At 47.7% G+C, this 25,363-nt stretch overlaps 1 protein-coding gene across 2 annotated transcripts in view, besides 6 other annotated features; it reads right to left on the bottom strand.

Moving 5' to 3' along the window:
- Positions 1-19,355, bottom strand: part of RCOR1 (REST corepressor 1) — a 137,913-nt gene extending 118,558 nt beyond the window's left edge. For both annotated transcript variants that reach the window (NM_015156.4, XM_047431148.1), the window contains exons 1-2: positions 18,817-19,355; positions 18,679-18,738 (exon numbers count right to left, since the gene is read on the bottom strand). In NM_015156.4, the coding sequence (NP_055971.2) occupies positions 18,679-18,738; positions 18,817-19,117 (361 nt within the window). In that variant the 5' untranslated portion in view covers positions 19,118-19,355. The remainder of the gene's footprint in view (positions 1-18,678; positions 18,739-18,816) is intronic.
- Positions 476-555: an enhancer, noted in NCBI's record as "active region_9076". NCBI's record gives its function as "activates an Ori minimal core promoter by ATAC-STARR-seq in GM12878 lymphoblastoid cells {active_cell/tissue: GM12878}" and the evidence as "EXISTENCE:reporter gene assay evidence [ECO:0000049][PMID:35858748]".
- Positions 18,379-18,988: a silencer, noted in NCBI's record as "silent region_6127". NCBI's record gives its function as "represses an Ori minimal core promoter by ATAC-STARR-seq in GM12878 lymphoblastoid cells {active_cell/tissue: GM12878}" and the evidence as "EXISTENCE:reporter gene assay evidence [ECO:0000049][PMID:35858748]".
- Positions 19,049-20,358: a silencer, noted in NCBI's record as "silent region_6126". NCBI's record gives its function as "represses an Ori minimal core promoter by ATAC-STARR-seq in GM12878 lymphoblastoid cells {active_cell/tissue: GM12878}" and the evidence as "EXISTENCE:reporter gene assay evidence [ECO:0000049][PMID:35858748]".
- Positions 19,049-20,752: a biological region, named in NCBI's record as "H3K27ac-H3K4me1 hESC enhancer GRCh37_chr14:103057589-103058404".
- Positions 19,937-20,752: an enhancer, noted in NCBI's record as "H3K27ac-H3K4me1 hESC enhancer chr14:103057589-103058404 (GRCh37/hg19 assembly coordinates)". NCBI's record gives its function as "activates a minimal SCP1, AML or CMV promoter by ChIP-STARR-seq in primed H9 embryonic stem cells {active_cell/tissue: H9 hESC(primed)}" and the evidence as "EXISTENCE:reporter gene assay evidence [ECO:0000049][PMID:30033119]".
- Positions 21,034-21,083: an enhancer, noted in NCBI's record as "active region_9075". NCBI's record gives its function as "activates an Ori minimal core promoter by ATAC-STARR-seq in GM12878 lymphoblastoid cells {active_cell/tissue: GM12878}" and the evidence as "EXISTENCE:reporter gene assay evidence [ECO:0000049][PMID:35858748]".

Genomic DNA, 25,363 nt, shown 5'->3' with positions numbered 1-25,363 from the left:
GTGAGACCCTATCTCTAAAACAATAAAAATAACCAGGCATGGTATAGCCCCAGCTATATGGGGTGCATGGCTTGAGCCCAGGAGTTTGAGGCTGCAAGGAGCTATGATCACAAAACTGCACTCCAGCCTGAGTGACAGAGCAAGACACCTTCTCTAAAAATATAAATAAAATACCCAAAAGAATCAAATGGAACAATCCACAAGGCTCACATGGGAACAGGAAGAGTGCCAGTTCCTCACAGCCAGAGTGGAAAACCACATAGTCCATGGGCTATCACACAGAATCCCCAAAAGGATTTTGACTCAATAGTGGGAAATACTTAGCCCTACACTAAAATGGTTTTGATCTCACCTAACAGAGCTTAAAAGCAAGACTTCATCAAACTATTTTTAAGTATTTTAACCACATCTCAGAACAAAACTCAAGAATATTTATAGAAATACAAAAATATCCAGCCTCCAACAAAGTAAAATTCATGATGTCTGGCATCCAAAAATCAACAGATAAGCAAAGTAGGTGGAAAAGACAACCCAAAAAGAGGAAGAAAAAAAAGAATCAAGCAACTGAAACTGACCCAGAAATGACACAGATGATAGAATTAGTAGACAAGGGCATTAAAAGAACTATAGGCTGAGGCCGGGCATGGTGGCTCATGCCTGTAATCCCTACACTTTGGGAGGCCAAAGTGGGAGGATCACCAGAGGTCAGGAGAGACCAGCCTGGCCAACATGGTGAAACCCTATCTCTACTAACAATACAAAAAATTAGCCAGGCGTGGTGGTGAGCACCTGTAATCACAGCTACTCAGGAGGCTGAGACAGGAGAATCGCCTGAATGGTGTGGGGGCGGAGGCTGCAGTGAGCCAAGATCACACCATTCCACTCCAGTCTGGGCAACAAGAGCGAAACTCCATCTCAAAAAAACAAACAAACAAAAAACTAAGCTCTCCTAAGCTTTCCATTTCAACTTGCTCTTTCAAATAACCTTATTTTGAACACCTTATTGGCAATATTTAAACAAATACACCCCTAGAGGAATTCAGCACACAGCCATCATACATTTCTCAGCTGTACCCATCTCAAATTTCATGCACTTGACAAAAGAGGCAAAACGTCTGAATTATAAAAATTAATAATAACGAAGCTTTTGGGCTGGGCACGGTGGCTCACGCCTGTAATCCCTGCACTTTGGGAGGCTGAGGCGGGTGGATCATGAGGTCAGGAGATTGAGACCATCCTGGCTAATACGGTGAAACCTCGTCTCTACTAAAAAATTAGCCGGGCGTGGTGGTGGGCGCCTACAGTCCCAGCTACTCAGGAGGCTAAGGCAGGAGAATGGTGTGAACGCGGGTGGGCGAGCTTGCAGTAAGCTGAGATGGCGCCACTGCACTCCAGCCTGGGGAACAGAGCGACACTCTGTCACACACACACAAAAATAATAATAATAATAGCAATAATAATGAAGCTTTCATTTCATCAAAATGTCTAGATCATTGCCACCCAACTGAACTTGCTGGGAGGATAAAAATACTCTATTCTGAGCTGTCCAATATGGCACCTACTAGCTATATATGATGGCTGAATATCTAAAATGTGCCTAGTGTAACAGAAGGACTGAATTTTTAATTTTATTTAATTTTAATTAATTTAAATTTCAATAGTTATATGTAGCTAGTGGCTACACTATTGGACAGCACAGCTCTAGATAACTACAAGGAAAATCTAAACTAAAATTTTAAAGATTAAACTTTTCAAAATAATTTTTATAACATGTACAGCTTATATATCATATAATATTAATATTCAAATTAACTAGGTAATTCCTACGTTTTAAGGCTTGACTTAAAGGACGATTTCTCTTTTTTTTTTTTTTGAGATGGAGTTTCGCTCTTGTTGCCCAGGCTGGAGCGCAATGGCGCAATCTCGGCTCACTGCAACCTCCACCTCCAGGGTTCAAGCGATTCTCCTGCCTCAGCCTCCCGAGTAGCTGGAACTACTCCCAGCTAATTTTTGTATGTTTAGTAGAGACAGGGTTTCACCATGTTGTCATGTTGTCCAGGGTGGGCTCAATCTCTTGACCTCGTGATCTGCCTGCCTCGGCCTCCCAAAGTGCTGGGATTACAGGGGTGAGCCACTGCACCCGGCCTTAAAGGACCATTTCATATAGGACTTCCTGGTTTCTTCAACTCCCAACCCTCCACCACAGGGAAGGATCGAGTAACTCCACTACTCTAAGCATCTCAGGACTCTCTGCACTGTCATCAGTAGCATTTTCACGCCTGTAATCCCAGCACTTTGGGAGGCCGAGACAGGCAGATCACCTGAGGTCAGGACCAGCCTGATCAGCCTGGCCAACACGGTGAAACCCTGTCTCTACTAAAAAATACAAAAAAAAAATTAGCCACACTTGGTGGTACATGCTTACAATCCCATCTTCTCAGGAAGCTGAGGCAGGAGAATCACTTGAACCTGGAAGGCGGAAACTGCAGTGAGCCGAGATCGCACCAATGCACTCCAGCCTGGACAACAGAGTGAGACTCCATCTCAAAAAACAGAAAATAAAAAGTAGAATATTGAAACCCTCATACGTTAATCATGGAGTATAAAATGGTTAAGCTACTGTGAAAAACAATTTAATGGTTCCTCAAAAAGTTAAGCACAGACCAGGCACAGTGGCTCACATCTGTAATCCCAGCACTTTGAGAGGCCGAGGCAGGCGGATCACCTGAGGTCGGGAGTTCAAGACGAGCCTGGCCAACATGTTTCTCCATCTCTACTAAAAATACAAAAATTAGCCAGGTGTAGTGGCATGCACATGTAACCCCAGCTACTCAGGAGGCTGAGGCAGGAGAATTGCTTGAACCCGGGAGGCAGAGGTTGCAGTGAGCTGAGATCATACCACTGTCACCCCAGCCTGGGCAACAGAGCAAGAGCCTGTCTCAAAATAAAAATTTAAAAAAAAAAAAAAAAAAAAAAAAGTGAAGCACAGAATTACTCCATAACCCAGCAATTCCACTAATAGATATATACCCCTAAAAGGATGAAAACAGATAAATACCTGTACATGAATGTACATAACAGCACGGTTCACAATAATCAAAAGGTAACAACAAGCTAAATGTCCATCAACAAATGAATGAGCCAGGTGTAGTGGCTCATGCCTATAAGCTCAGCATTTTGGGAGGCTGAGGCAGGAGGAGTGCTTGAGGTCAGGAGTTAGAGACCAGCCTGGCCAACATAAACAAACCCCGTCTCTCCACAAAAAAAAAATTTTAAAATTAGGCCAGGCACCTGTAACCCCAGCACTTTGGGAGGCCGAGACAGGTGTATCACCTGAGGTCGGGAGCTCAAGACCAGCCTGGCCAAAATGGTGAAACCCCATTTCTACTAAAAATACAAAAATCAGCCAGGCATGGTGGTGCGCACCTATAATCCCAGCTACTTGGGAGGCTGAGGCAGGAGAATCGCTTGAACGAGGGAGGCAGAGGTTGCAATGAGTTGAGATCACGCCACTGCCCTTCAGCCTGGACGACAGAGCAAGACTCCATCTCAAAAAACAAAAACAAGGCAAAACAAAAAAAACAACAACACAAAACAAAAGCAATGAAGCACAGAAAGTACCAATACTGACTCAAGCTTCAACATGAATGAACCTTGAAAACATTACACTAAGTGATAGAAGCCAGACATGAAGGTCACATACCCATTTACGTGAAAGTTCCAGAATAAGTAATCCAGAAACAAAAAGCAGGTTAGTGGTTGCCTGGTACTGAGAATGGAGAATAAGAAGTAACTCATTCTTCATTCTAACACATGTGAGATTTTCTTTTTAGGGTGATGAAAATGTTTCGGAACTAGACAAGGGCAGTGGCTCCACAACAATGCGAGTGCACTGAATGCCACTGAATTGTTCATTGTAAAACGGTTAATTTTGTTGTTTTTTTTTTTGAGATGGAGTCTCTCTGTTTCGCCCGGGCTTGAGTGCAGTAGCGTGATCTCGGCTGATGGCAACCTCTGCCTCCCCGGTTCAACCAATTCTCCTGCCTCAGCCTCCCAAGTAGCTGGGATTAGAGGCGTGCACCGCCACACCTGGCTAATTTTTTGTACTTTGTGGTTTTTCTTGAGACAGAGTCTCGCTCTGTTGCCCAGGCTAGTGTGCAGTGGCACGATCTCAGCTCACTGCAGCCTCCACCTCCCGGGTTCAAGCGATTCTCCTGCCTCAGCCTCCTGAGTAGCTGGGATTAAAGGCAGGTGCCACCACACCCGGCTAATTTTTATACTTTTAGTAGATATGGGGTTTTACCATGTTGGCCAGGCTGGTCTCAAACTCCTGACCTCGTGATCTGCCCACCTCAGCCTCTCAAAGTGCTGGGATTACAGGCATGAGCAACCACGCCTGGCTAGCTTTTTTCTATTTTTAGTAGAGACAGGTTTTCACCATATTGGCCTGGCTGGTCTCAAACTCCTGACCTCAGGTGACCCACTTGCCTCAGCTTCCCAAAGCACTGGGATTACACGCATGAGTCACCACACCTGGCCAAAAAATAGTCAATTTTGTGATGTGACTTGCACCACTTTATATAAAAAAAAGAAAACACATCTATGCAAGATGTGCATCTCCAATTTATACAAATTCATTATAAGGAAAGCAAGAGACAATAGGGATAATCAGCTTTTAACTGCAATTTAAAAGACAATTTTTCCCTAGATTTCCATTTGATATACAGTTGCACTTGGTCCTTATCAAATGTCCATTAAAAAATGCCTACTCAGCCGGGCGCGGTGGCTCACGCCTATAATCCCAGCACTTTGGGAGGCCAAGGCAGACGGATCACCTAAGGTTAGAAGTTCGAGACCAGCCTGACCAACATGGAAAAACCCCGTCTCTACTAAAAATACAAAATCAGCCAGACGTGGTGGAGCATGCCTATAATCCCAGCTACTTGGGAGGCTGAGGCAGGAGAACCACTTGAATCCGGGAGGCAGAGGCTGCAGTGAGCTAAGATCACACCACTGCACTCCAGCCTGGGCGACAGAGTGAGACTTCGTCTCAAAAAAAAAAAAAAAAACTAACACAAAACCCAAAAAAATCAAAAAAACAAAAACAAAAGCCTATTCAAGAAAAGACCCAAACCAAGCACATATTCTTAGAAAATTCAGCCCCTATTTAGCTCTGACGAGTTTATACTAGATAATACTTAACAGCCAGGTGCAGTGCCTCACACCTGTAATCCCAGCTACCTGGGAGGCTGAGGCAGGAGGATCACTGGTGCCCAAGAAGTCAAGGCTGCATGCAGTGGGCCATGTTCCCGCCACTGCACTCCAGCCTGGGGGACAGGGTGAGACCCTATCTCCCCTCCAAAAAAAAAAAAAAAACTTAAAACCTGATTTGGTGGTTCAAAAAACTACGCTACCACCCTCAAAGAAATCAGACATACATGACACCACTAGCTCCCAGAACACTCTCTGGTACTGAGTAAGATCAAAACTAGTTAAGCACCTACTCTTCTCTTCCTCCCCGCTGAACTCCCTATATCCACGCTAAGTTTGAAAGCAGAACACCAAGCCCAGCAGCTTCTATGCCAGTAAAAGTAAAGCAGGGCAGGAACTACAACCTTCAGGGAGAGTATGGGTGTAAATACAGTCAGGTGCAGTGGCTCACACCTGTAATCCCAGCACTGTGGGAGGCCAAGACAGGCAAATCACCTGAGGTCAGGAGTTCAAGACCAGCCTGGCCAACATGGCAAAACCCCGTCTCTACTAAAAATACAAAAATTAGGCCGGGCACGGTGGCTCATGCCTGTAATCCCAGCACTTTCGGAGGCCGAAGCAGGCAGATCACTTGAGGTCGGGAGTTCAAGGCCAGCCTGCCCAATATGATGAAACCCTATTTCTACTAAAAATACAAAAATTAGCCAGGCATGGTGGCGCGCACCTGTAATCCCAGCTATTCACGAGGCTGAGGCAGGAGAATCACTGGAAGCAGGGAAGCAGAGGTTGCAGTGAGCCGAGATCATGCCACTGGACTCCAGCCTGTGCAACAGAGCGAGACTCCATTTCAAAAACAAAAACAAAAAAAACCACAAAGACACACACATTGGCCTAGCCTACAGTCAGGATCATCAATATCACCATCTTCCAACTCCATACCTTCCTTGTCCCACTGGAAGGTCTTCAGAGGCAATAAGACCCATGGAGGTGTCATATTCTAGAGTAACAATGCCTTCCTTCTGGAATACCTCCTGAAGGACCTGCCTGAGGCTGTTTTACAGCAAACTGATAATTTTTATAAGTAGGAATACACTCTAAAATAACCATACAAAGTATAGCATAGTAAATCCACAAACCAGTAATACAGTTATTGTCATTACCAAGTACTATGTACTATACATAACTCCATGTGCTAGATTTTGTAAGACTGGCAGTGCAGTAGGTTTGTTTACACCAACACCACACAAACACCTAAGTAATGCTACACGCTGTTGCACTATAGACAAGGTGAAGTTACTAGGCGACAGAAATTTTTTAGTTCCATTATAATCTTATGGGACCACTGTCCTTGACCAAAATGACATTTGTTTTGCAATACATGACTGTATGTATAGCCTTCAGTCACACCATCAAAATAAATGGCTCTTCTAAAAAAAACTCCAACTATATTCTAAGTTGTGAAGATGACTATTTCAACATACATGCAGGAATAAAGCAACTCAGTCCAATTTGTCCCCAGGCAACCAAGCTAACCACCTCCCATTTCACCGGTGTTCTCACTGCCAGGAAGAAGAGGAATGTAACTGGACTACAAGTTGGCTCTGGCAACCCGAAACATAAAATTCCCCAACACCTGGGGCCACATGGAAACAACTAATCAATGGATCCAATAAAGTCTTGCTCCTAAGTGTTTTTTCTTTTCCTTTTTTTTTTTTTTTTTTTTTTGAGATGGAATATTGCTCTGTCACCCAGGCTGGAGTGCAGTGGCACGATCTCGGCTCACTGTAGCTCCACCTCCCAGGTTCAGGCAATTCTCGCGCCTCAGCCTCCCAAAATGCTGGGATTATAGCCTGGCTAATTTTTTGTATTTTTAGTAGAGACAGGGTTTCACCATTTTGGCCAGGCTGATCTTGAATTCCTGACCTTGGGAGATCCACCTGCCTCAGCCTCCCAAAGTGCTGGGATTACAGGAGTGAGCAACTGCACCCAGCCTAAGTGTTTTCTCTTAAAGAGGATTCTGGCTGACCCTCTCTAAAATACACTAAATTGAATTCTGATTATACTTATAAATCAGAATTCTTATAATACTTAAAATTAACAGTCTATCTTGTTGATCCTTTTCCTTTCTTACTGAAACATAAAATAAAGGTGCCTCTTACAGCTGAGGGCCTCTCGGACTGGATTACCACGGCAAGTTATTAGGTTCAACCATAAGACTAAGCCTCTCAATGCCTCTGTTTCCTCATCTGGAAAATGGAGATAGTAACTTTACATCATATGACTGTTGTGAGGGTCAAATGATTTGATGTGTGTTAAAACTAGCCTGGCACAGAGTAAGCAACCTGGATAGATCATTCTTTCGAGGGTTTTGTTAGTGATGACAAGTTGTACCTCCCTATCCACACACTACCCATTGCCTTATAAGGAGTGGCAAATCCCTAAGACAGCTGTTAGTTTTAGTCTATAGCATTTTAACCTTTCGTGGGAAACTAACTGACCATTATAGGATCAAAGCTGTAACTTTAACCTTTAACCTATATGCTACTATAACTATATACTAGGCAAAAATTAAATCAGAGCTTTTCAAGTCATCCAGCACTGTGATTTGGGTCAACTAGCTAATAGCAGGCCAAAATGAGATGAATAACTTAGTGGAAACACAACAATCAACAAAAAAAATTGTCAATTCTCAGTAACATTCATCTTAGAAATCAGGGGTATACACCAAGACCAATCTCTGAGTACAGTCTCCAGTCAGGAATGTATTTTTATCCCTTCCTAGTCAAATAAACTCAATCCTCCTCCCCGCAACACACATAATATTAAAGAAAAAACAAAAAACATATGTGCAATTCTAACAAAGAATATCCAAATATATAAATAAAAAGAACTCACACAAATCCATACAAAAAACCAAAACCTATAAAAACCAACACCCTATAGAAAAACAGCAAAACAGCCTAGGAAACATGGTGAAACCCTGTCTCTACAAAAAAACACAAAAATTAGCCAGGCGTGGTGGCACACTCCTGTAGTCCCAGCTACCTCGGAAGCTGAGGTGGGAGGATCATGTGAGCCCAGGAGATGAAGGTTGCAGTGAGCTGAGATTAAGCCACCGCACTCCAGCCTGGGCAACAGAGCAAGACCCTAAGGGGGAAAAAAAAGAAAAATAGCAAAAGAAAGATACATTCACAGGAGGAAACTGAGTGGCAAAAAAAAGAAAAAAAAATTTACAGACACCCCTGGGCCAGGGTTAAGACCAACAAAACCTGAAACCCCATCTCTACAAAAAATACAAATATTAGCTGGGCATAGTGGCAAGAGCCTATAAACCCAGCTACTCCGGAGGCCAAGGTGGGAAGATTACTTGAGCCTGAGAGGCTGAGGATGCAGGGAGCCAAAATTACACAACTGCACTCCAGCCTGGATGACAGAGCCAGACCCTGTCTCAAAAAGTACATATAAACAAATAAAAAATAAATAAAAAGACACTCTTTTCTTATCGATACTTAGCTAAAACACACTTAGTACTTTTTGTCACATTCTTTGCTGGGTGTGGTGGTGAACAACTGTAGTCCAAACTACTCCAGAAACTGAGGTATGAAGATCACTTGAGCCCTAGAAGTTCAAGGCTACAGTACGCTATGATCACGCCACTGCACTCCAGCCTGGGCGACAAGAGTAAGAACTCATCTCAAAAAAGGGGAAAAAAAAGGTCTTAAAAAAATTAAAAATTAAAAATTAAAAACATAAGACACTTAACCTCATCATTAATTGGAAAACTTAATTACAGGCACAGTGACTCATGCCTGTAATCTCAACACTTTGGGAGGACACAGCAGAAGGACTGGTTGAGCCCAGGAGTTGGAGACCAGTCTGGGCAACTTGGCAAAACCCCGTCTCTACAAAAAGTTCAAAAATCAGTCAGGCATACTGGCTCATGCCTGTAGTCCCAGCTTCTCAGGAAACTGAGACAGGAGGATCACTTGAGCCCTGGAGGCTGAGGCTGTAGTGTGCTGTGATCATGCCACTGCACTCCAGCCTAAGAGGCAGAACGATATCAAGTCTACAAAAAAAGAAAGAAGAGGCCAGGCACAGTGGATCACGTCTGTAATCCTAGGACTTTGGGAGGCCGATGCGGGAGATCACTTGAGGTCAGGAGTTCAAAACCGGCCTGGCCAGCATGGTGAAACCCCTTCTCTACTAAAAATATTTTTTAAAATTAGCCAGGCGTGGTAGCACATGCCTGTAATCCTAGCTACACGGGAGGCTGAGGCAGGACAATCACTTGAACCGGGGAGGCGGAGGTTACAGTGAGAGGAGACTGCGTCACTGCATTTCTAGCCTGGGGAACAAAACAAGAGCGAAACTCCATCTCCAAAAAAAAAAAAAAAAAAAGAAAAGAAAAGAAAAGAAAAAAATGCTAATATAAGCCATTAAAGGATAGCATTTAAAAAAAATTAATAACCTAACTAACACCATGACGAAGACAAGGTGAAAACAAAGTTGTTTACCTTGCTAGTGGAAATGTACTTGTTTGGAAAGCATAAAAGTACATGAATAGCATAGATTATTCCATTTACAAAAACACTAACAATAACAAGAAAACATATTATCACTTTTTTTTTTTTTTTGAGACGGAGTCTAGCTCTGTCGTCCAGTCTGGAGTGCAGTGGCACAACCTCGGCTCACTGCAATCTCCGCCTCCCGGGCTCAAGCAATTCTCCCGCCTCAGCCTCCCAAGTAGCTGGGATTACAGGTACCCGCGACCACACCCAGCTAATTTTTATATTTTTAGTAGAGACGGGGTTTCGCCATGTTGGCCAGGCTGGTCTCGAACTCCTGATCTCAGGTGATCCTCCCGCCTCACCCTCCCAAAGTGCTGGAATTACACACATGTATTTAAGTACAAAAACACGTATGGGAATTCTGACAGCCTTGAGTGTGCCACTCAGATTTCCCTTCAAGAGAGAAAATGTTGCAAGGAGTGTAGTTAACTGACAGCCCCAGCTACCAGAAATCTACTACAGCACCCATACCAAGGCTAGGCTACTCTAGGCTGCTCCCAGCCAATGACTGAACACAGCAGATGTTCACAAAGAAGGACCATTCCTGCCCAACAGACTCTTCTAACAATCTACTCTGGCTGAGATTTTCTCTGAACTGCAAGCTGCACTGCAGTTTGAGGTTCCTCTATCAATCATTAATCATCATTCCTTCCCTCTCTTCTTTCACAGGTGTCACACATGCTTCCAGTGTAAAGGCTCTTGCCACCTACACCTCCTTCCTCTCTTTATCCTTCACAAGCATACCCTAATGAACCTCTTGCACATCTAATTCTGTCTTGTCATCTGCTTCTCAGAAGATGCAAACTATCACAGAAATAATATAAACCAACTGTGAATTAATGAAGAAAGAAGGCGGGAATGAGGCTTTAGCTGTACCTGAAGCAAATATTGCCTAGTATTAAATCAGTGTTTGGTCGGGTGCGGTGGCTCAAGCCTGTAATCCCAGCACTTTGGGAGGCCAAGGCGGGTCAATCACCTGAGGTCAAGAGTTCGAAACCAGCCTGGCCACCATAGTGAAACCCCGTCTTTTTTTTTTGAGACAGAGTCTCACTTTGTCACCTAGGCTGGAGTGCAGTGGTGCCATCTACGCTCACTGCAACCTTTGCAGCCTGGGTTCAAGCAATTCTCCTGCCTCAGCCTTCTGAGTAGCTGGGATTACAGGCATGCACCACCACGCCCAGCTAATTTTTGTGTTTTTAGTAGAGAGGGGTTTCATCATGTTGGCCAGGTTGGTCTTGAACTCCCGACCTCAAGTGATCCGCCTGCCTCGGCCTCCCAAAGTGCTGGGATTACAGGTGTGAGCCACCATGCCCAGCCAGCGAAATACCATCTCTACTAAGAATACAAAAATTAGCAGCCGGGCGCGGTGGCTCACGCCTGTAATCCCAGCACTTTGGGAGGCCAAGACGGGCAGATCACGAGGTCAGGAGATCGAGACCATCCTGGCTAACATGGTGAAACCCCATCTCTACTAAAAATACAAAAAATTAGCCAGGCGTGTTGGCGGGCACCTGTAGTCCCAGCTACTCGGGAGGCTGAGGCAGGAGAATGGCGTGAACCCAGGAGGCGGAACTTGCAGTGAGCTGAGATCACGCCACTGCACTCCAGCCTGGGGAACAGAGTGAGACTCCGTCTTCAAAAAAAAAAAAAAAAAAATTAGCTGGGCATGGTGGCACACACCTGTAGTCCTAGCTACTCGGGAGGCTGAGGCAGGAGAAGCACTTGAACCTGGGAGACAGAGGTTGCAGTGAGCCAAGGTCACACCATTGCTCTCCAGCCTGGGTGACAAGAGCAAAACTCTGTCTCAAAATACAATAAAAAATAAAACTAAAATCAATCAATCAATCACTGGCTGGGCGCGGTGGCTCACGCTTGTAATCCCAGCACTTTGGGAGGCCGAGGTGGGCGGATCACGAGGTCAGGAGATCAAGACCACGGTGAAACCCCATCTCTACTAAAAATATAAAAAATTAGCCGGGCGTGGTGGTGGGCGCCTGTAATCCCAGCTACTCAGAGAGGCTGAGGCAGGAGAAGGGCGTGAACCCGGGAGGCGGAGCTTGTAGTGAGCTGAGATCGCGCCACTGCACTCCAGCACCCCAGCCTGGGTGACAGAGCGAGACTCCGTCTCAAAAAAATAATAATAATAATTAAATAAATAAATCACAAAGCATTGCCAGGCACATGCCTGTGATCCCAGCACTTTGGGAGGCCAAGGCAGGAAGACTGCTTGAGCACAAGAGTTAGAGACCAGCCTGGGCTCAAGCGTGGTGATGTGCACATGTATTCCCAGCAACTGATGAGGCTGAGGGGGGAGGATCACTTGAGTCTGGGAGGCAGAGGTTGAAGTGAGCCAACATCAGGGCCACTGCACTCTAGCCTGTGTGACAGAGCAAGACCTTGTTTCAAAAAAAAAAAACAAAACAAAACAAAACCACAAAGCATTCACCATATTTTTTTTACAATGATCTAAAGCATAAAAAAAGCAGAACATAGAATCACCAGTGAAAACAAATGAAAGGCATATCAAGACACCCTGTTCAGTAAAATTACCTATTCCACATGAAAACATAACACAGTTTTCTGACAGAAGTCAACTCTGAAGTGACAGTTAAGCCAATGACAACCACAAATTTTCAGATCTGATTAAATACATTGGATTAAACATTCAAAATAAAGGTTGCTTTTTTAAAGGGCCACTATCTCAAAAATATTCATCATTAACAATGTACGCCTCTGAAGCACCAAGGACGTGTATAAAGAGAATAAAAAAAATTAAAAAATAGTAATAATAATGGCTGAACACGGTGGCTCACACCTGTAAGCCCAGCACTTTGGGAGGCCAAGGCAGGCAGATGGCTTGAGCCAAGGAGTTCGAGACCAGCCTGGACTACGTGGCAAAACTCTTGTCTCTACAAAAAATACAAAAAAACTAGTCAGGCATGGTCGTGGACATCTGTAGTCCCAGCTACTTTCGAGGTAAAGTATGGATGGGAGGATAGTGTGCGCCCAGGAGGTTCAAGTTCACTGCCGCCATGATCACACCACTATACTGGTGACAGAGTGTGACCCTATCTCAAAAAAAAAAGGAAAAAAAAGGAAAGAAAAACATTATTCATTTCAAAATAAGTGATGCTTTGCTTATGTAGGAAAGAACCAACCAGAGGTAGGATAGATAAGCATCCCCCCTCTTACCCTATTATTCTGTAACTACTGAATATTAAAAGAAACCAATGACAACTCAGCATAATCTGCGGCAGACAGCATGGAAAGGCAGTCTGGACAACACATGTAAGAACAAAGCCTAAGTTAAAAGTGTAGGGCTGCACTTAGGTTTTTAACTCTTTTTTTTTTTAACTCTTTAAAAGTTGGTAAAACTTTTTATTTCAGTGTAAACACAAATGGTATTCTAACTACCAAGCAATGCCACACTACACCGATCTAATCTAGGTATTAATTATTTTATAAGAACTGAATCAGGGCCAGGCGTGGCGGCTCACGCCTGTAATCCCAGCACTCTGGGAGGCCGAGGCGGGCGGATCACGAGGTCAGGAGATTGAGACCATCCTGGCTAACATGGTGGAACCCCGTCTCTACTTAAAATACAAAAAAATTAGCCGGGCGTGGTGGCAGGCGCCTGTAGTCCCAGCTACTCGGGAGGCTGAGGCAGGAGAACGGCATGAACCCAGGATGCGGAGCTTGCAGTGAGCCCGGATTACACCACTGCACTCCAGCCTGGACAACAGAGCGAGACACCGTCTCAAAAAAAAAAAAAAAAAAGAACTGAATCAGGATTTTAAGACTAACGTGCTCTATCCACCTCATTCACTCTTTGTAAGGCATGACAGAATTAAATCTTCCTTTGAACTGCATAGGAAATATCAGATAGTCTTAGCTCCAACCATTTGCTTTCAAACCTAAATAGGGTCAAGCTGGCATACCGCAAATAAGTAAAATCTGACAAAAAAATCAGGCCGGGCACAGTGGCTCACACCTGTAATCCCAACACTTTGGGAGGCCGAGGTGAGTGGATCACCTGAGGTCAGGAGTTCGAGACCAGCCTGGCCAACATGGTGAAACCCATCTCTACCAAAAATACCAAAATTAGGGCTGCGCAGTGGCTCACGCCTATAATCCCAGCACTCTGGGAGGCCAAGGCAGGCAAATCACCTGAGGTTGGGAGTTCACGACCAGCCTGACCAACATGGAGAAACCCTATCCCTACTAAAAATACAAAATTAGCTGGGTGTGGTGGCCCATGCCTGTAATCCCGGCTACTCGGGAGGCTGAGGCAGGAGAATTGCTTGAACCTGAGAGGTGGAGGTTGAGGTGAGCCGAGATCGAGATCATGCCATTGCACCCCAGCCTGAGCAACAAGAGAAAAAAACTCCATCTCAAAAAAAAAAAAAATTGCAAAAATACCAAAATTAGCCAGACATAGTGGCACACGCCTGTAATCCCGGCTACTGAGGAGGCTGAGGCAGGAGAACTGCTTGAACCCGGGAGGCAGAGGCTGTGTGAGCTGATTGTGCCACTGCACTCCAGCCTGGGCAACATAGAAAGACTCCATTTCAAAAAAAAAAAAAAAAAAAAAAAAAAGGTCGGGCGCAGTGGCTCACGCCTGAAATCCCAGCACTTTGGGAAGCCAAGGTGGGTGGATCACCTGAGGTCAGGAGTTCGAGACCAGCCTGGCCAACAAGGTGAAACCTCATCTCTACTAAAACTACAAAAACTAGCCGGGTGTGGTGGTGTGCGTCTGTAATCCCAGCTACTCAGGAGGCTGCAGCAGGAGGATCGCTTGAACCCAGGAGATGGAGGTTGCAGTGAGCTGAGATCATGCCACTGCACTCCAGCCTGGGTGAAAGAGCGAGACTCTGTCTCAAAAAAAAAAAATCAAAGTCAAATTCCTCCATTCATGCATCTCTACCATAGTTACTTATTTTACTATAATAAAAAAAGAAAAGAAAAAAAGCTGCCTGTTAAGTTTCACGTCCACCTCTCTGTTCAAATTCTAGTAAAAGAGAAGAACAAAGACACACTCAAAACTGAGGTAGGGACAGGGCATGGTGGCTCACGCCTGTAATCCCAGCACTTTGGGAGGCCGAGGGGGGCAGATCACCTGAGGTCAGGAGTTCAAGACCAGCCTGGCCAATATGGTGAAACCCCGTCTCTACTAAAAACACAAAAATTAGCCAGGCATGGTGGCACGCACCTGTAGTTCCAACTACTTGGGAGGCTGAGGCAGGAGAATCACTTGAACCTGGGAGATGGAGGTTGCAGTGAGTCAAGATTGTGCCATTGCACTCCAGCCTGGGCAACAGATCAAGACTCCGTCTCAAAAAAAAAAAAAAAGGCGGGGGGAGGGGCAGTCACAGTGGTTCACGCCTGTAATCCCAGCACTTTGGAAGGACAAGGCGGGGAGATCACCTGAAGCAAAGAGTTCGAGACCAGCCTGGCCAACATGGTGAAACCGCATCTCTAATAAAAACACAAAAATTAGTTGGGCGTGGTGGTGGGCACCTGTAATCCCAGCTACTCTGGAGGCTGAGGCAGGAGAATCACTTGAACCTCGGAGGTGGAGGTTGCAGTGAGCCAAGATCGTGCCACTGCACTCCAGCCTGGGCAACAGAGTGAGACTTGGTCTCAAAAAATAAAAGAAAAAAGAAAAAAACAAGTAGGAGGAGGAAATAAAAACTAGTAAGGATCAAACTCTCAATTCTTAATTTATTACTCAATTCACTACTCTTAAATTGCAGTCATGGAAAGAACCTGTCTTAAGTCTTAAACAGCTAAGAAAGAATTTTGCTATAAAACAAACATCAGTTGGCTGGGCACGGTGGCTCACCCCTGTAATCCCAGTAATTTGGAAGGCTGAGGTGGGTGGATCACCTGCGTTCAGGAGTTCCAGACCAGCCTGATCAACATGGAGAAACCCTGTCTCTACTATAAATACAAAAAATTAGCCAGGCATGGTGGCGCATGCCTGTAATCCCAGCTACTTAGGAGGATGAGGCAGGAAAATTGCTTGAACCCAGGAGGCAGAGGTTGCGGTGAGCCCAGATCACGCCATTGCACTCCAGCGTGGGCAACAAGAGTGAAACTCCGTATTAAAAAAAAAAAAAATGTTGTATCATTTCTATTCCAAAATGGAAGCCTTCCTTCCCCTTAAGCTTTTAAGTTAAATGAAAAGACACATAAAAAACCACTAGGAAATAGTAAAGTCTCAATTTTCTGCCATATCTAGAAAACTGTGTCCCCCTGCTTAGGTTGGCAAAACAAGGTTTGAAATTACTTTACACCAGTTAGATTCCTTTCCAGATTAAAACAAACACAAAATAAAGAAATTTGGGGCCGGGCGCGGTGGCACATGCCTGTAATCCCAGCACTATGAGAGGCCGAGACGGGCGGATCACGAGGTCAGGAGATCAAGACCATCCTGGCTGACACGGTGAAACCCCGTCTCCACTAAAAATACAAAAAATTAGCCAGGAGTGTTGGTGGGCGCCTGTAGTCCCTGCTACTCTGGAGGCTGAGGCAGGAGAATGGCGTGAACCTGGGAGGCGGAGCTTGCAGTGAGCTGAGATCACACCACTGCGCACTCCAGCCTGAGGGACAGAGCAAGACTCCGTCTCAAAAAAAAAAAAAAGAAATTTGGAAATTTTAATATCAATACTCAACCAATTGGCAGCAAGACTATGCAGCAAAACAGTTAGATGTTTTCCTTTTTATTTCTGAGACAGGGTCTCACTCTGTCACCCAGGCTGGAGTGCAATGGCCAGATCACTGCTCACTGCAGCCTTGACTTCCCAGAGATCCTCCAGCCTCAGACCCCCCCGTAGCTGAAACTACAGGCACATGCCACCATGCCCAGCTAATTTTTTTATTTTTTGTTGAGACAGAGTCTGACTACATTGCCCAGGCTGGTCTCCAACTCCTGAGCTCCAGAGATCCTCCAGCCTTGGCCTCCCCAAGTGTTGGGACTACAGGTGTGAGCTACTGCAATCTGATAAATGTTTTCCATTTTAGAATAGCTGGTCACTAGCAAGTTTATGCTCATATCTATTCCAACAAAAAGCCCAAAGACAGTTCAAAATATTATATTTGCTGTTTCAAAGAAAAGTATAACTCCAAAGAAGTCAAACTCATTACTAACAATGCAGAGCTGATGTCAATATTTCGATGAATGTCAGAAATCTAATTCCTGTTGTTGACAAATATGCCCTTTTCCTTAGTCACATCCAACACATCTACATAAAGTTTTCAAAATTTATGTTAACAAAAATGTATCAAAAAGCCTACCAACTTACTCAAAGATTTGTGGAAGTCGATTTTTAAAAATAATACATTAGGAAAATTTGGTAACAAGCTTTATGTTCTGTGTTTTAAAGCAAAGATAGACTTGACCTACAAAATGAAGACAGGGTCAACTGTAACCAAAAAACAGTATGCTTCCCCTGGTGGCCAACCAAGGAACGGAGGAGCCAAGCATACAAGAGATATAGCCTGGCCACCTAGTTCTATCCTGTCACTCATAAACGAGAAGTGACTACCAAAAAAAAAAAAAAGAATTGGGGAGAAGAGGAAACTATCAAAAACACTAACATGGACTTAAAAGAAACACAAACGCGAGTATTAGACAAATAAATTTAACAGATTTACGTCAACAAATCAAAATTTAGAAGGCCAATTTAGGAAGTCATTTATTTCCAGAGTGTCCAAGAGCTCACCTAGGACCTCTATGTATTTTCACTTCAAAGTGCAGTTTAGTACCTTAATAACAGCTTGAGAGCAATCGCCTTTTTCAAGGACTAGATCATTGCAATTTTCTGCAGTCTTGTTTCCAAGGAAAAAACATGTATGCGTTTATCTTTTCAAATAAACTAGTGGTATAACCCACATACAGAACCCCAGCTCTAAAGCCCTCCAACCATGGAGGATTGTTAACTCCAGCTTTACAAGATGCTCTTTTGAATTTTATTTCTGAAATAAATCCTACGTTCTTTCAAACATTTTCCATACCAACAACCTTTAAAGACAGTCTCATACAGACACTGGCTAGAATCTCATGCATTAAAATCTGACGAATTCCTTTGTCTGATCGGATTTTTTTTCTTGTACCACTTTAAATTTGCTTCTACACAGAATAGCAGCCAGGGAACTAAGTGTTCCATTCTAGGGTGTAGGGCTTTCTTGTAGGTGAAAAGCATTTGTTAGGCTAAAGCTTCTGATGCTTCTCAATTTCACAATCTCTTCCTCCAAAAAAAAGGAAATACACACATTTACAAATAGGTCCTAAAATCCAACTGCCACACGCGAGACTCTCTTCCCCAGGCAGGCGCCCTCTGGAAAACACACTTCTTTTATTGACTGGTTTTGGGGGGTCGTTCTTCTACTCGCCTTCTGGATGGGAGGGCAGTCAGGAGCCAGCAAGAGCCCAGAGGCTGAGAGGAGGAGCAAAGGCGTGGGGAGCAGCCTTTGGGAAGGGTTCCGAGAAAGGGGTCTCTGGGGACCTCCTAAGTCCGGGGCGCTCGCAGGACACTAACTCTCCGGCACTGCCACCCTTACCCCTGGCCGAGGCGCAGCTCACCTGGACGCAGGGACCCCCAGCGCCCCCAGGCCAGGTGTGGCCACCTCCGACGCCACCCGCAGTCCTCGGAGGCGCAAGGGGGCAGCGGCGCCGGCCCTGCTGGGGGCGACCTGGCCTCCCCCGGGTGCAGAGGCACGTTTGCAGAACACTCGTGTGCGTGTGCGCCTCCTCGTCCTCGCCCTGCTGTTCTCCCCACGGACGGCAGGGCGAACGCACAAAAAGAAAGTTGTCGGCGGGCTCCCGCCCCCTCGGGCTCGCCGGGGACCCGGGGCTCCCGCTCATCCCCGCCGCCGGCCGGCCGGGGCCGCTACTCACCGGGGTCGAAGTCGGGCACCACCGCCTGGTACTGGGGTCCGACCCTCATGCCACCGCCACCTGCGGGGGAAGCAGAATACGGCGGTCAGCGCGGCGCGGGGCGCGGGGCCCGGGGCCGCGGGGGCGGCTGCCACCTACCGTGCTCCTCGTCGCTGGACGAGCCCGAGCTGCCTTCCTCCCAGGAGTTGCTGCTGCTGTTGCCATTGGGCGCCGCCGCCGCCAAACTTTTATTCTGGCCATTATTGGGGGCGGCGGCGGCTGAGGCGGCGGCGGCCGAGGCTGAGGAGGCGGCGGCGCCCGAGGCGGCAGTGGCGGCTGGCGAGGCGCAGGCGGCCGAGGCGGCGGCGGAGGCGGCGGCGGCGGAGGCGGAGGCGGCCGCGTTGTTCCTCCCTCTCCGCTTCCCTGAGACCTCGGGGCCCTTCTCCACCATGGCCGGCATCGGCGGGGGCCGGGGCCGTGCGAAAGTGGCGGGGACCCGCGGCTCCTGAGGAGGGGGCGCCGAGACGGGGGAGGGGGCGCGGGGCCGGCGCGGGGCCGGGCGGGCGCGGCGGGAGCCCACGGGCGCGAGTCCGAGTCGGGGGAGGCCCAAACGGGCAGAGCGCGGAGCCGCTTCAAGCCCCCAGCGACGAGCCGAGCGCAACTTTCGCTCTCATCGCCGCCCTCACTTCACTGGCACCAACTACTCCGGGAGCAGCGAGCGGAGAGGGGAGGAGGCAGGGGCGGGGCCTGCAGGGGCGCCGGGGGAGGGGGGCGCGCAGCCCAACTGACGCGAGATGGCTCCGCCCCCCCTCGCGCTCCCATTGGCTCTGGTGGGATTTGGACAGCCAGCGGCAGCGGGGTTGGCTCCGCGCGCCCGTCCGTCCGGGGCGGCGGGGCGGGGGAGCGGGGAGGGGCGGCTCCGGGCTTCCGTTGGCGAGGTTCGGTTGACGCGTATCGCCCGCCGTACGTGGTTTGAGGTTTGCCATCTCCCTACGCCCCATGATCCATCTCTCCAGGCAGCGGCGAGGAGTTCGCGGCCCTCCCCGCCCCCTACCCTTGGCCGCGGCCCCTGCCCTTGCTGCCCGCGCACGCCTCCCGCAGCCTCTGGCCCCCCATCTGAAGGACCCCGCTGAGAGTCCCGTCGACTTCTCAAAGTAAAATGTGTCTGGCGCTGGGAAGCCGCGGAGCGCCCGGCCGGGACTACTTTCCGCTGCGCGGAGGAGTACGGGCGCGCTAAGACTCCATACAAAGAGGAAACTAATTGGGGGAAACTCGCTGCGCCCCCGCCTTTCCCAGGGGACGCGGGGCTGGCGGGGGCGGGGGCCGCGGCGCGGGGGACGGGCTTCCCAGGCGGCCGCCTCCCCTGGCGCGAGCTGCGTGGGGACTCGGGTCTGCGGTGCTGCCCGCTAATTGGGTGGGGGAGGCCGGGGCCCCCGGGGTGGCTTGGGTGCGGGGTGCGCCGCGGCTTCAGAGGCCCAAGGGAGGGTCCCCGTGGGTCCCCGGGGCACAGAGTCCCGGCGTGGGGACGCCCAAGCCGCCTGGGTGGCCGCTGAAAGATGAATGAAGGGGCCCAGTCGTCCTGGGGCGGGGGTCCAGGAAGGGTAAAGAGGAAGAAGCTATTTTCATCCCAAGCTCTCGGCACGGGAGGAGGGTCAACTTCTTTCGGGGCGAGGGCAGCCACTTTTCCGGACCTGCCGCCCGCCCCGCCTCCCTACTCCCCCCGGCACCCCCACGAGGGAGAACACGGGGTGCGGGCGGGTGGGGTAGGCTGAGGCTAGCCTGAGAGCCGCTGCCTTGGAGAGGGACCACCGGGCAGCCGTACAGCTGTTAGGAGGCTGAGGAGTGTAACTGCCTTGGAGGTCCCGGTGCCCTACCCCCAGCCAACCCTGAAACTACGCGCCCTTCGTAATTAGACCAGTGGAGGTCTATACGGAAAATCTTTTTAAAGCAGGGAAGGCTATTTTTCTTTTAAGTTACTTCAAACCTGAGCTTAATTTGGGGACTAGCTCTGGATATAAATAGCTACAGGGAGAATTTGGGAGTTTTATGGTTTTAAAGCCTGAGTAAATAAGCAGGGTTTTGTCTTGAACATTTTCTGCAGCATGAACCATTATTAACTTTATTGAAGAGACCACGTTCACTTCTGCCTAAATGGCCTTTAAGAAACAGGGCTGGGAGCCCTCCTGGTATAGAAGCCCTTCCCCCACCAAGTTCAGGTGGGGGACTTAGACTTTTAGACTCTCCTCAAAAGTACGTCCCTCTCCTTGGAGTGCCCTGGATGCTGCAGGTGTGTGCCCCAATACACCCTGTCAGCTGGCCTGGGCAGGGTACAGAACCGGGGTGGCATTCCCGGGGCTGGGCCACCGGCTAAGGCCTCTGACTCATCCGGAGGTGAGCCCTGTGTGAGGAATGAGGTCCAGAACACGCTGCCCCGCTCGCTTGGTGTCTACAAAGTTCTGCCACGAGACTAGAAGGATCAACCTACAAGGGCACAAAGGTGATACTGGGTCATTAAGGCAATAGGGATAGCAGAGCACACAAGGCCGCCCTCTCCACCCACCAGCCCCCAAGGCTGAGGCCAGGCTGGGCTACCAGTAGGGGCGCAGCAGTGGACTTGACAAGCATTCTTTTTTTTTTTTTTCCAACGAATATTAACACTTAATATGTGCCGGGCCCTGTTCTATTTTGTCTGACCCTAATGCTACACCGATACTGTATTGGCCTGAAGCTCTCAGATTTACCAACCGTAAAATACAGGAAACAGTACCTACCTCCTGGCCTGATGGACTGTAATAGAGTCCATCCTTCCAGCATAGGGAACCCCAACGTTAAGGACACTCGCCTTCCCATCGCTTGGGGAGAGGGCTCCACACACAGCCCTGGGATTGGGAATTTGTGATCCCACACTTCTAACGCATCCACAAAGCCGGCAGCCCTATCATGTTTTTCGGTGAGACTCCCACTCTGAAAGTGAGACCTCATGCCTGCTCCCCTCTCCTTACACCTCCCACAGCCCCTTCTGCCTGGGCTCCTAGCCCGTGGCCTTACCTCATTCTTCAGAGAAAAACGAAAGCCTTCAGGATCTTTCTCCTCTCCCAGTACCCAAACAGACAAACTTCCCTGTCGGGTACTCACGTCCTCCTCAGGCCTAGGACCCCATCCCGCTGCCCTCCCCTCGAGGCTTTTCTGTGCCATCAGCCTCACTCTGGACCGACTCCTGCCCCCAAACCCTCTCCTGCCTCTGGCCATTTCTCCCTCCCTTCAGACATTTCTGTAGACTTCCCTACACTCACCTCCTCCACCCCTTCCCGTCCCAGCCTCTCATCACCCCATCCAGCAGGGCTGTGTCCCCACCCCTTAACTGCTGCTAAGGTAACCTACAACCTCTCCGCTGCCCAATCCGGGGGTCACTTCTTGGTCTCGCTGAGCTTCTCAGCAGCAGCTGAGTCGACCACTCCTCCTCCTGGAAACCCTCACTTATCTGGACCTGGGGATTCCAGTTCACCTGGTCCTGCTACCTCACAGGTCACTCCCCATCAGTCTCCTCTGCAGCTTTCAACCTGTCATCGTTGGGATTCCTCCTTGCCTTTTTCCTTTCATTAATTTTTTTTTTATCCAGAGTCTCACTCTGTCGCCCAGGCTGGAGTCCAGTGGCACGATCTGGGCTCACTGCAACCTCTGCCTCAGCCTCCCGAGTAGCTAAGATTACAGGCACCCGCCACTACACCCGGCTAATTTTTGTATTTTTAGTAGAGACGGGGTTTCACCATATTGGCCAGGCTGGTCTTGAACTCCTGGCCTCGTGATCCGCCCGCCTCGGACTTCCAAAGTGCTGGGATTACAGGCTTGAGCCATGGCGCCCGGTGACATAGCGAGATCCCGTCTGTATAAAACAAAAACAAAAAAAAAAACTGTGACCCTATGACCATCTCGTCCCCCCACCCTAAAAAAAAACAAAAACTATGACCATGACCATCTCATACCCCACCCTTATAGATGAGAAAGCTGAGGCACCCAGAAGTGAAATATCTTCCTAGGATCAGGCATGATATGAGGGGAGGAGCCGGGGCACAGCTAAGCCAGGAGCTATGGAGCCTCTTAACCAAGGCCAGAGTTGCCCCAGGGATTCTGGGACGGCCAGGGGCAAGGGTGTCTGCAACATGCTTGGTCTGATGCTAAACATACAGTGTTTATAATTTTGTATTCATTGTATTTTCCCAGAAAAAGGGAAGGGAAAAGAGTCAGCATGTGTTATAAAATGATTAGAAAATGGGAAAGGAAGTACCTGGTACAGCAAAATCAACCATCAAATGAACATACCCCAGTGATGGAGTCATCAAAGCCCAAAGGGGCTCCGTCTCCTTCAGTTCAGGAATGAAGGGAAGGGATCAGGAAAAGGAGAGACGGGTACAGGCTTTCCTACCCCAGTGTTTATAGTTCTTCCTGCTGCTAATTATTATTATTACTATATTTGGGCTTGTTAGAAAATTCTGTTTGGCAAGGAATTCCTTTCCCAAGAATGGAGCCAGGCAGAGGGCAGGGTATGGGCCAGGGCTGGGAAGTGTCAGGAAAACACCCTAAAGCCATTCCTGGGAGGTTTCAAGCCCCCAAAGGACTATTGGAAAACTGAGACTTCAGGCTGGAATTTTAGCCATCCTAAGAGTTCTGAACCTGGAATCCATGGATAGAATTCTGGAGACCATGAACCAGAGCTGGTAAATACATCTTTATTTAAATTAACCTTTAACACCAAGTGCGGTGGCACTCACTTATAATCCCAGGTACTTTGAGGCCTCCAGCAAGACCCCTGTCTCAAAAAAAAAATCAACCTTTAACCAAAATCCAGCATTTTCTTCACTTATGAATGTAGGTGATATTCCATCTCAACACATTGCAGTCACTGGAAATATCTCAAAATAGCATTTATTTATTTATTTTATTTTTATTTTATTTTTTGAGACAGAGTCTTGTTCTGTCGCCCAGGCTGGAGTGCAGTGGCATGATCTCAGCTCAGTGCAACCTCCCGGGTTCCAACTATTTTCCTCCCTCAGGCTCTGAGTAGCTGGGATCACAGGCACCCACCACCACGCCCAGCTAATTTTTGTGTTTTTAGTAGAGATGGGGTTTCACCATGTTGGCCAGACTGGTGTCGAACTCCTGACGTCGTGATCCGCCCACCTTGGCCTCCCAAAGTGCTGGGATTACAGGCATGAGCCACCGCGCCCAGCCTCAAAATAGCACGTATACTCGTCTCCAAAATCACAGAAGTTATTAGACCCACTGCTAGAACTTGTTACTTAATATGTTAATAACTAAGCAAGTAAATCGTAGACCTAATTGTAAGACCTAATTGTAAAACTATAAAACTGTCAGATGAAAACCTAAATCTCTGTGACCATGAGGTAGGCAAAGTCTTCTTGATTACGATGCCAAAAGGATAAGGAACAAAAGAGAAAAATTGGAATTCATAAAAATTAAAACTTGTGTGGGTGAGCATGGTGGCTTACGCCTGTAATCCCAGCACTTTGGGAGGCTGAAGCGGATGGATCACCTGAGGTCGGGAGTTCGAGACCAGCCTAACCAACATGGAGAAACCGCGTCTCTCCTACAGATAAAAATTTTGCTGCAGATGGTGGCAGGCTCCTGTAATCCCAGCTACTCGGGAGGCTGAGGCAGGAGAATCACATGAATACAGGAGGCGGAGGTTGCAGTGAGCAGAGATTGCGCCATTGCACTCCAGCCTGGGCAACGAGCAAAAACTCCGTCTCAAAAAAACAAACAAAAAAAAGATTAGCTGTGGCTGGATGCGGTGGCTTACGCCTGTAATCCCAGCACTTTGGGAGGCCAAAGCGGGCAGATCACGAGGTCAGAAGATCAAGGCCATCCTGGCCAACATGGTGAACCCCATCTCTACTAACAATACAAAAATTAGCTGGGTATGGTGGTGCATTCCTGTAATCCCAGCTATGGGGTGGCTGAGGCAGGATAATCTCTTGAACCAGGTAGTCGGAAGTTGCAGTGAGCGGAGATCACGCCACAGCACTCTAGCCTGGCAACAGAGTGAGACTCCGTCTCAAAAAAAAAAAAAAAAAAAAAGATTAGCCAGGCGCGGTGGTGGGTGCCTGTAATCTCAGCTACCTGGAGGCTGAGGCAGGAGCATCACTTGAACCTGGGAGGCAGAGGTTGCAGTGAGCCAATATCGCCCCCCATTGCAGCCTGGGTAACAGAGCGAGACTCCTGTCTCAAAAAAAAAAAAGGCCAAGAAACTCATGCAAAGATGCTCAATGTTAGCCGTCAGGGAAATGAAAAAACCACAAAGAGATGCCACTTCTTGCCCACCAGGATAGCACTCATCAAAAAGATGCAGTAACAAGTGCTGGAAGCCACTGCTGGTGGGAATGTAAAATGGTGCAGCTGCTTTGGAAAATAGTCTGGCAGTTTCTCAAGAAGTTAAACATAGAGTTGCCATTTGACCCAGAAATCCCACTCAGAGATATATACCCAAAACAACTGAAAACATATGTCCACACAAAAACTTGTGGGCAAATGTTCATAGCAGTATTATTCATACTTAATGTCCCTCATCTGATGAATGTTTAAACAAAGTGTGGTCTATCCACACTGGAATATGGGTCAGCCATAAAAAGGATGCTACAACATGGATGAATCCTGAACAGGTTAAATGAAGAAGCTAGTCACAAAAGAC

This window comes from Homo sapiens, chromosome 14 (assembly GCF_000001405.40).
Source record: "Homo sapiens chromosome 14, GRCh38.p14 Primary Assembly".
NCBI classification, from domain to species: domain Eukaryota; kingdom Metazoa; phylum Chordata; class Mammalia; order Primates; family Hominidae; genus Homo; species Homo sapiens.
This window is presented reverse-complemented; position numbering and strand designations above follow the sequence as displayed.